General features: G+C 42.2%; 1 annotated feature.

Annotated features, from left to right (window-relative positions):
* Window positions 10170–10249: a silencer, noted in NCBI's record as "silent region_16006". NCBI's record gives its function as "represses an Ori minimal core promoter by ATAC-STARR-seq in GM12878 lymphoblastoid cells {active_cell/tissue: GM12878}" and the evidence as "EXISTENCE:reporter gene assay evidence [ECO:0000049][PMID:35858748]".

The raw sequence follows: 11719 nt of genomic DNA, 5'->3' as shown, positions 1-11719 counted from the left end.
GATCTGAGAATGGGCAGACTGCCTCCTCAAGTGGGTCCCTAACCCCCAAGTAGCATAACTGGGAGGCACCACCAGTAGGGCAGACTGACACCTCACACGACAGGGTACTCCTCTAAGACAAAACTTCCAGAGGACCGATCAGGCAGCAGCATTTGCAGTTCACTAATATCCACTGTTCTGCAGCCACCACTGCTGATACCCAGGCAAACAGGGTCTGGAGTGGACCTCCAGTAAACTCCAAAAGACCTGCAGCTTAAGGTCCTGACTGTTAGAAGAAAAACTAACAAATAGAAAGGACATCCACACCAAAAACCCATCTGTATGTCACCATCATCAAAGACCGAAGGTAGATAAAAACCACAAAGATGGGGAAAAAACAGAGCAGAAAAACTGGAAACTCTAAAAATCAGAGGGCCTATCCTCCTCAAAAGGAACACAGCTCCTCACCAGCAATGGAACAAAGCTGGACAGAGAATGACTTTGACGAGTTGAGAGAGGAAGGCTTCGGAAGATCAAACTACTCCGAGCTAAAGGAGGAAGTTCGAACCAATAGCAAAGAAGTTAAAAACTTTGAAAAAAAATTAAACAAATGGATAACTAGAATAAACAACACAGAGAAGTCCTTAAAGGACCTGATGGAGCTGAAAACCATGGCATGAGAACTACGTGACAAAGGCACAAGCCTCAGTAACTGATGCGATAAACTGGAAGAAAGGGTATCAGCGATGGAAGATGAAATGAATGAAATGAAGTGTGAAGAGAAGTTTAGAGTAAAAAGAATAAAAGGAAATGAACAAAGCCTCCAAGAAATATGGGACTATGTGAAAAGACCAAATCTACATCTAATTGGTGTACCTGAAAGTGACGGGGAGAATGGAACCAAGTTGGAAAACACTCTGCAGAATATTATCCAAGAGAACTTCCCCAATCTAGCACCGCAGGCCAACATTCAAATTCAGGAAATACAGAGAATGCCACAAGGATACTCCTCAAGAAGAGCAACTCTAAGACACATAATTGTCAGATTCACCAAAGTTGAAATGAAGGAAAAAATGTTAAGGGCAGCCAGAGAGAAAGGTCAGGTTACCCACAAAGGGAAGCCCATCAGACTAACAGCGGATCTCTCAGCAGAAAGTCTACAAGCCAGAAGAGAGTGGGGGCCAATATTCAACATTCTTAAAGAAAAGAATTTTCAACCCAGAATTTCATGTCCAGCCAAACTAAGCTTCATAAGTGAAGGAGAAATAATATCCTTTACAGACAAGCAAATGCTGAGAGATTTTGTCACCACCAGGCCTGCCCTAAAAGAGCTCCCAAAGGAAGCACTAAACATGGAAAGGAACAATCGGTACCAGCCACTGCAAAAACATGCCAAACTGTAAAGACCATCAAGGCTAGGAAGAAACTGCACCAACTAATGAGCAAAATCACCAGCTAACATCATAATGACATGATCAAATTCACACATAACAATATTAACCTTGAATGTAAATGGGCTAAATGCTCCAATTAAAAGACACAGACTGGCAAATTGGATAAAGAGTCAAGACCCATCAGTGTGCTGTATTCAGGAAACCCATCTCACATGCAGAGACACACATAGGCTCAAAATAAAGGGATGGAGGAAGATCTACCAAGCAAATGGAAAACAAAAAAAGGCAGGGGTTGCAATCCTAGTCTCTGATAAAACAGACTTTAAACCAACAAAGATCAAAAGAGACAAAGAAGGCCATTACATAATGGTAAAGGGATGAATTCAACAAGAAGAACTAACTATCCTAAATATATATGCACCCAATACAGGAGCACCCAGATTCATAAAGCAAGTCCTGAGTGACCTACAAAGAGACTTAGACTCCCACACAATAATAGTGGGAGACTTTAACACCCCACTGTGAACATTAGACAGATCAATGAGACAGAAAGTTAACAAGGATATCCAAGAACTGAACTCAGCTCTGCACCAAGGGGACCTAATAGACATCTACAGAACTCTCCACCCCAAATCAACAGAATATACATTCTTTTCAGCACCACACCACACCTAGTCTCTCAGATCACAGTACAATCAAACTAGAACTCAGAATTAAGAAACTCACTCAAAACCGCTCAACTACATGGAAATTGAACAACCTGCTCCTGAATGACTACTGGGTACATAATGAAATGAAGGCAGAAATAAAGATGTTCTTTGAAACCAATCTGAGAATGAAGACACAACATATCAGAATCTCTAGGACACATTCAAACCAATATGTAGAGGGAAATTTATAGCACTAAATGCCCACAAAAGAAACCAGGAAAGATCCAAAATTGACACCCTAACATCACAAGTAAAAGAAATAGAGAACCAAGAGTATACACATTCAAAATCTAGCAAAAGGCAAGAAATAACTAAAATCAGAGCAGAACTGAAGGAAATAGAGACACAAAAAACCCTTCAAAAAATCAATGAATCCAGTAGCTAGTTTTTTGAAAAGATCAACAAAATTGACAGACCGCTAGCAAGACTAATAAAGAAGAAACTAGAGAAGAATCAAATAGACGCAATAAATAATGACAAAGGGGATATTACCACTGATCCCACAGAAATACAAACTACCATCAGAGAATATTATAAACACCTCTACACAAATAAACCAGAAAATCTAGAAGAAATGGATAAATTCCTCGACACATACACCCTCCCAAGACTAAACCAGGAAGAAGTTGAATCTCTGAATAGACCAATAAAAGGCTCTGAAATTGAGGCAATAATTAATAGCTTACTAACCAAAAAAAGTCCAGGGCCAGATGGATTCACAGCCAAATTCTACCAGAGGTACAAGGAGGAGCTGGTACCATTCCTTCTGAAACTATTCCAATCAATAGAAAAAGAGGGAATCCTCCCTAACTCATTTTATGAGGCCAGCATCATCCTGATACTAAAGGCTGGCAGAGACACAACCAAAAAAGAGAATTTTAGACCAATATCCTTGATGAACATTGATGCAAAAAGCCTCAATAAATACTGGCCAACCGAATCTAGCAACTCATCAAAAAGCTTATCCACATGATCAAGTGGGCTTCATCCCTGGGATGCAAGGTTGGTTCAACATATGAAAATCAATAAACGTAATCCAGCATATAAACAGAGCCAAAGACAAAAACCACATGATTATCTCAATAGATGCAGAAAAGGCCTTGGACAAAATTCAACAATCCTTCATGCTAAAATCTCTCAATAAATTAGGTATTGATGGGACATATCTCAAAATAGTAAGAGCTATCTATGACAAACCCACAGCCAATATCCTACTGAATGGGCAAAAACTGGAAGCATTCCCTTTGAAAACTGGCACAAGACAGGGATGCCCTCTCTCACCACTCCTATTCAACATAGTGTTGGAAGTTCTGGCCAGGGCAATCAGGCAGGAGAAGGAAATAAACGGTATTCAATTAGGAAAAGAGGAAGTCAAACTGTCCCTGTTTGCAGATGACATGATTGTATATCTAGAAAACCCCATCATCTCAGCCCAAAATCTCCTTAAGCTGATAAGCAACTTCAGCAAAGTCTTGGGATACAAAATTAATGTGCAAAAATCACAAGCATTCTTATACACCAATAACAGACAAACAGAGAGCCAAATCATGAGTGAACTCCCATTCACAATTGCTTCAAAGAGAATAAAATACCTAGGAATCCAACTTACAAAGCATGTAAAGGACCTCCTCAAGGAGAACTACAAACCACTGCTCAGTGAAATAAAAGAGGATACAAGCAAATGTAAGAACATTCCATGCTCATGGGTAGGAAGAATCAATATCATGAAAATGGCCATACTGCCCAAGGTAATTTACAGATTCAATGCCATCCCCATCAAGCTACCAATGACTTTCTTCACAGAATTGGAAAAAACTACTTTAAAGTTCATATGGAACCAAAAAAGAGCCTGTTTCACCAACTCAATACTAAGCCAGAAGAACAAAGCTGGAGGCATCATGGTGCCTGACTTCAAACTATACTACAAGGCTACAGTAACCAAAACAGCATGGTACTGGTACCAAAACAGAGATATAGACCAATGGAACAGAACAGAGGCCTCAGAAATAATGCCACATATCTACAACTATCTGATCTTTACAAACCTGAGAAAAACAAGCAATGGGGAAAGGATTCCCTATTTAATAAATGGTGCTGGGAAAACTGGCTAGCCATATGTAGAAAGCTGAAACTGGATCCCTTCCTTACACCTTATACAAAAATTAATACAAGATGGATTAAAGACTTACATGTTAGACCTAAAACCATAAAAACTTAGAAAAAAACCTAGGCAATACCATTCAGGACATAGGCATGGGCAAAGACTTCCTGTCTAAAACACCAAAAGCAATGGCAACAAAAGCCAAAATTGACAAATGGGATCTAATTAAACTAAAGAACTTCTGCACAGCAAAAGAAACCACCATCAGAGTGAAAAGACAACCTACAGAATGGGAGAAAATTTTCACAACCTACTCATCTGACAAAGGGCTAATATCCAGAATCTACAATGAACTCAAACAAATTTACAAGAAAAAAACAAACAACCCCATCAAAAAGTGGGTGAAGGACGTGAACAGACACTTCTCAAAAGAAGACATTTATGCAGCCAAAAATCACATGAAAAAATGCTCACCATCACTGGCCATCGGGGAAATGCAAATCAAAACCACAGTGAGATACCATCTCACACCAGTTAGAATGGCAATCATTAAAAAGTCAGGAAACAACAGGTGCTGGAGAGGATGTGGAGAAATAGGAACACTTTTGCACTGTTGGTGGGAAGGTAAACTAGTTCAACCATTGTGGAAGTCAGTGTAGTGATTCCTCAGGGATCTAGATCTAGAAATACCATTTGACCCAGCCATCCCATTACTGGGTATATACCCAAAAGATTATAAATCATGCTGCTACAAAGACACATGCACATGTATGTTTATTGCGGCAGTATTCACAATAGCAAAGACTTGGAACCAACCCAAATGTCCAACAATGATAGACTGGATTAAGAAAATGTGGCACATATACACCATGGAATACTATGCAACCATAAAAAATGATGAGTTCATGTCCTTTGTAGGGACATGGATGAAGCTGGAAACCATCATTCTCAGCAAACTATCACAAGGACAAAAAACCAGACACCACATATTCTCACTCATAGGTGGGAACTGAGCACTGAGAACACATGGACACAGGAAGGGGAACATCACACACCGGGGACTGTTGTGGGGTGGGGGGTGGGGGGAGGGTTAGCATTAGGTGATATACCTAATGCTAAGTGACAAGTCAATGGGTGCAGCACACCAACATGGCACATGTATACATATGTAACAAACCTGCACATTGTGCACATGTACCCTAAAACTTAGAGTATAATAATAATAAAATAAATAAATAAAAAAGATTGTCCAACAAGAAATAAGCCACCCCCTCGCCCATGTCTGCTATGTCAAGGTGATCACTTGAAGGAACACTGCCCCAGAGGGTGAAGGTTCTCTGGGCCAGAAGCTCATGACCAGATGATCCAGCAACAGGACTGAGGGTGCCTGGGGCAAGCGCCATCTGATGTCATCACCCTCACAGAGACCTGGGTAAGTCTGATCATTGAGGGCCAGGAAATTGACTTTCTCCTGGACACTGTCATGGCCTTCTCGGTTCTACTCTCCTGCCCTGGATGGTTGTTCTCAAGGTCTGTTACCATCCAAGGGATCCTGAGACAACCTGTAACCAGGTATTTCTCTCACCTCCCTTAGCTGTAACTTGGAAACCTTACTTTTCTTGCATGTCTTTCTCATCATGGCCGAGAATCCCACACCCTTACTGGGGAGGGACATATTAGTCAAAGCAGGAGCTATCATCTGTAGGAATACAGGGAACAAAACACCTATCTGTTGTCCCCTACTTGAGAAAGAAATCAACCCTGAGGTTTGGGCATTAGAAGGACAATTCAATGAGCAAAGAATGCCTGTCCAGTCCAAATCAAACTAAAAGACCTCATCTCTTTCCCTTACTGAAGACAATACCCCCTAAGACCCAAAGCTCAAAAGGGATTACAAGGTATTGTTAAACATTTAAAAGCACAAGGCCTAGTAAGGTGTTGTAACAGCCCCTGTAACATCTCAATTCTAGGGATACAAAAACCAAATGGTCAATGGAGATTAGTGCAGGACCTCAGGCTCATTAATGAGGCTGTAATTCCTTTATACCCAACTGTACCCAACACTTATACATTACTCTCTCAAATACCAGAAGAAGCAGAGTGGTTTACAGTCACGGATCTTAAAGATGCTTTTCTGTATCCCTCTACACCATGACTGTCAATTTCTATTTGCCTTTGAGGATCCCTGAGATCAAACATCTCAGCCTACCTGAACAGTCTTGCCCCATGGATTTAAGGATAGGCCTCACCTGTTTGGCCAAGCATTGGCCCAAGATTTAAGTCACTTCTTGCACCCAAGTACCCTAATTCTTCAATATGTGGATGACTTACTTCTAGCTACCTGTTCAGAGACCCTGTGCCATCAGGATACCCAAGACCTTTTAAACTTTCTAGCTGATCGAGGTTACAAAGTATCTAAATCAAAGGCTCAACTTTGTTTATAGCAGGTGAAATACCTGGGGCTGGTTTTGGCTAAAGGAACCAGGGCTCTCAGCAAAGAATTTATCCAGCTTATACTGGCTTATCCTTGCCCTAATACATTAAAACAGTTATGAGCATTTCTTGGAATAACCAGCTTTTGCCAACTATGGATCCCCAGATATGGTGAAATGGCCAGGCCACTTTACACTCTAATTAAGGAAACCCAAAAAGCTAACACCCATTTGATAGAATGGGGACTAGAGGCAGAGGCAGCCTTCAGAACCCTGGAACAGGCCCTAACACAAGTCCCAGTTTTGAGTCTACCTACGGGACAAAATTTCTGTTTATATGTCACAGAAAGGATGGGACTAGCCATTGGAGTCCTTACCCAGACTCGAGGGACTACCATACAGCCAGTAGCATATTTGAGTAAAGAAATTGATGTGGTCACAAAGGGTTGGCCTCATTGTCTCTGGGTGGTAGCTGTGGTGGCCATTTTAGTATCAGAGGTCATCAAAATAATACAAGGGAGAGACCTCACTGTATGGACTACTCACGATGTAAACAGCATACTAACTGCTAAAGGAGGTTTGCGGCTGTCAGACAATCGCCTACTTAGGTACCAGGCCTTATTACTTGAGGGACCAGTGCTTCAGATGCACACTTGTGCAGCTCTTAACCCAGCTACTTTTCTCCCAGAAAACGAAGGGCCAATAGAACATGATGGTCAACAGGTCATAGCCCAAACTTATGCTGCCCAGGAGGATCTTCTAGAGGTCCCCTTAACGAACCCTGACCTCAACCTACATACTGAAGGAAGTTCATTTGTAGAAAAGGGATTATGAAGGGCAGGATATGCCATAGTTAGTGATAAAGCAGTACTTGAAAGTGAGCCCCTTCCCCCAGGGACCAGCACCCAGTTAGCAGAACTAGTGGAACTTACCTGAGATTTAGAGCTAGGAAAGGGAAAAAGAATAAATGTGTAGATGGACAGCAAATATGCTTATCTAGTTCTACATGCCCATGCTGCCATATGAAAAGAAAGGGAGTTCCTAACCTCTGGAGTAACACCCATTAAATACCATAAAGAAAGTATGAAATTATTACAGGCAGTGCAAAAACCCATCAAAAAGGCCATCAAAAGGAAGCAGAAGGAAATTGCCAGGCAGAAGCTGAGACCAAAGTCACCACAAGACGGGACCTCCCATTAGAAACACCTATGGAGGGACCCTTGGTACGGGATAATCTCCTTCAGGAGGCCAGGCCCCAGTATCCCCTGCAGAAACAGAATGGGGACTTTCATGTGGACATAATTTTCTCCCCTTGGGATGGCTAGCTACTGAGAAGGGAAAGGTGCTCATACCCACAGCTAATCAATGGAAAATACTAAAAACCCTTCATCAAACATTCCATATGGGTATTGAGAATACCCGTCAAAAGGCCAAATCTCTGTTCACTGGATGAGATCTCCTTAAAACTGTCTGGCAGATAGTCAAGGCCTGCAAAGTGTGCCAAAGGAATAACTTCTTGGTTCATCATGAAGCCCCTCAGGGAGAACAAAGGACAGGGCACTACCCTGGAGAGGACTGGCTGTTAGATTTCACTCGTATGCCTAAGTCACGGGGACTTCAATACTTATTAGTCTGTGTTGATACCTTCACAAATTGGGTTGAAGCCTTACCCTTTAAATAGAAAAGGCCCAGGAGGTAATCAAAGCCCTGGTTCATGAAATAATTCCTAGGTTTGGACTTCCCTTTAGTTTACAAAGTGATAATGGCCCGGCTTTCAGAGCCACAGTGACTTGGGGAATTTCCAAGGTACTAGGGTTACAATATCACCTTCATTGCACCTGGAGACCACAATCCTCAAGGAAAGTCGAGAAGATGAATGAAACACTCAAAAGGCACTTAAGGAAATTAACACAAGAAATTCACCTCCCATGGCCTACCATCTTATCCATAGCATTATTAAGTGTCCAAAATTCTCCCCACAAGATAGACTCAGTCCTCATGAAATGCTATATGGACAGCCTTTTCTCAAAAACAACCTCTTTCTTGATCAAGAAACTACCAACTTAGTCAAGGACATAACTTCTTTGGCTAGGTACCAACAAATCCTTAATACATTACCTGAGGGATGCCACTGAGAAAGGGAAAAGGATTGTTCCATCCTGGGGATCTAGTATTAGCCAAGTCCCTCACCTCTACCTCCCCATCCCTGGATCCATCGTGGGAAGGACTGTATTCAGTTATCTTCTCCACTCCAACTGCAGTCAAGGTGGTTGGAGTAGAGTCTTGGTTCCATCACACCCAAATCAAACCTTGGATGGCAACCTGAAAAACCTGTGGAATCATCAGCCCGGGAATCTAAGAGTCAGTCAGACAAACCTTCTTAAACCTGCAAGCCATTGGAAGACCTATCTTCTTTCAGAAGGAAAAACCACAGGAAAGTAATTAGTGCTCATAAGTTCTACCTCAGTTCTTGTTTTAAAAACAAAATGTACTCTAACATCCTAACTTTCCTTACCTTTGCCTAAGTCTTAACCTTTTCCCACTCTACCTTTTCCCCTAAACTTGAGGGAATTATAAACATGTCCTCCCAGTTTTTATTTGAAGCACATCCCAGCCAGAGTAAGTCTTCCTGATGGGTTTGCATGAACCTTAATTCCCCCTTATGTACAGCAGTTCCAGCCACCCCTTAACATATGGGTGGAAACCTCTTTGGCCTTATTCATAGCTAACACTTCTAAGGGCCCAGGATTTTTTCATCCTAGTGATAGGTCCAATTTCCCCAACAGGGCTCAAGCAGTCTTAAAAGCAGCCGCTGCCATTCTCTGACAATTCACTATATCAACCAACACAATCATAGGTTCTGTGGGCACAGTAACCTCCTTCTTTTGACCTCCACTCCTTTGTATCTTCTGTCAAGTGTTTCCAGGATCACAGGATGTGGGACACGTGGCTAGCTGCAACTATATGCTTGCCTTGGATATAGAGTCCAAATATTCTAATTCCTACAGTACCATTAATGGCACCCCCACGTTTGGTGGAAATAAACAAGATCTCCTTGGAGATCCCATTTCAGTCACCTATCCATTAAGATTTAACAACCCAAGCCAGATAATTCCCCCAGCAGAGGCCAAAACAACAAGCAATTACTGCTGGGGCAGACTTCCCTTTGCCCAGGTTATTCCCCTCTGGGGACTTTTTCCCTCTCTCACAGGTGAAGGGTTAAAACCCCATTGCTCTCTCTTCCTGTCCCCGGAACAGAAGTTTTTCTTAACGCAGCTAGCCCTTGGTTTGCCTTAGAGGAACCCCATAATATGTCCTTGTCAAATTCTATTCAGCTCCAACCTCTAGGAGTGGCCATTTGTCCCAAACCCTCAAATCATGAGAATGAGAAACTAATGCAGACTGACCTCAGCCCTTATTAGATTTTCAGCTACGGGGTGTGTAGAATCCTGGCAAGGAGTTTTCTTTGTGTGTGGAAATCCTTCTATGTTTGCTTCCCCACCAACTGGATGGGAACTTGTACTTTAGCCTACATTGTAACTCCTCGACTTACTCCTTTTCAGAAGAGGCAGTAGCCATGCCCATTCATGCTAAGCTTCAGCCAAGAGCAATCTCACTACTTCCTCTATTGGCTGGTTTAGGTTTTACTACCACCCTACGAACTGGAACCGCTGGACTCACAGTGTCCTTGACACTCTCTAAATAAGTAAGAGAAAGCCTAGATGAAATCTCTGTCCAACTTACTCAAATCCGGGACCGAATAGACTATTAGCAGCTGTGGTTCTCCAGAACCAGTGAGCACTAGATCTCCTCTCTGCTGAAAGGGTAGGAACATGCCTTTTTCTGAATGAGGAGTGTTGTTTTTATGTCAATAAATCATGCATAGTCAGAGATGGAATTAAACGACTTCAGGATAGAGGCAGCAGACTACACGGTGGGACAACTGAAGCTACCTCATGGTTCTCACAATGTGTTCTCCCCTGGCTTCTTCCATTTCTAGGTCCCCTCCTTATGATTATTCTACGAGTAACCTTTGGCCCATGTCTTTTCAATTCCCTAATCTGTTTCATTTCTTCATGAATAGAATCAGTGAAACTACAAATGGTACTGCAGATGGAACCTCGGATGACTTCAACCAGCACCTATTATCAAGGACCCCTAGACTAGCCTGCCAGCCCATACCCAGATATTGACACCCAAACCACCTCTCATGAGGAAACCTCAGCTGCAGGGACCCTTCTATGCCCCTACTCAGCAGGAAGCAGTTTCAGCGGTCATCGTCCCACACCCAACAGCAGTTGGGCTCTCCTGTTGAGAGGGGAGACTGAGGGGTAGAGTTGGTGGGACTTCCTGGGCCGATTGAAGGACTTTTGCAAAAGACCCCTGTGACTCAGGGTTTTGAGTTCTTAACCATTCGAGTGAAGGATTCAAAATTAACCACTCTGAGGGAAGATTGAAAAAAGAACCACTCTCAATGGGCAAAAAGAAAGAAAGGGGAGGGGGTAACATAGGGATATAAGCCCTAGCCATCCGAGCCAGCAACAGCAACCCTTCTGGGTCCCCATCCACCACGTGGAAGCTTTCCCTTCACTTTGTTCAATAAACTGCACTGTTCCTCACTCTCCTGGTCCATGGACTCTTTTTGGACTGTTAACACTCACCACGAAAGTCTGCAGCTTCATTCTTCAAAGTTAGCAAGACCACTAATGCATCAGCAGGAAAAACTCCTGACTGAATATGACCCAACAATTCCATACCTAAGTATATAGCCAAGGGAAATGAATTCATATATCTTCATGAAAACATGTACACAAATGTTCTTAGGTTATTCATAATAGCCACAAAGCAGAAACAAGTGGATAAATAAAATGTGGTATGTCCATACAACAGAATATTATTCAGCCATAAAAAAGAATGAAATACACTTTGTCCTCAAACAACACATGTTTGAACTGTGAAGGTCCACCTGTACACAAATTTTCTTCCACCTCTGCCACTCCTGAGATAATGAGACCAATCCCTCCTCTTCCCCCTTCTCCTCAGACAATGTGAAGACAGTAAGGATGAAGAACTTATATGATGACCCATTTCCACTTAATGAAT

This window comes from Homo sapiens, chromosome 5 (genome assembly GCF_000001405.40).
Source record: "Homo sapiens chromosome 5, GRCh38.p14 Primary Assembly".
Taxonomy (NCBI): Eukaryota; Metazoa; Chordata; class Mammalia; order Primates; family Hominidae; genus Homo; species Homo sapiens.
This window is presented reverse-complemented; position numbering and strand designations above follow the sequence as displayed.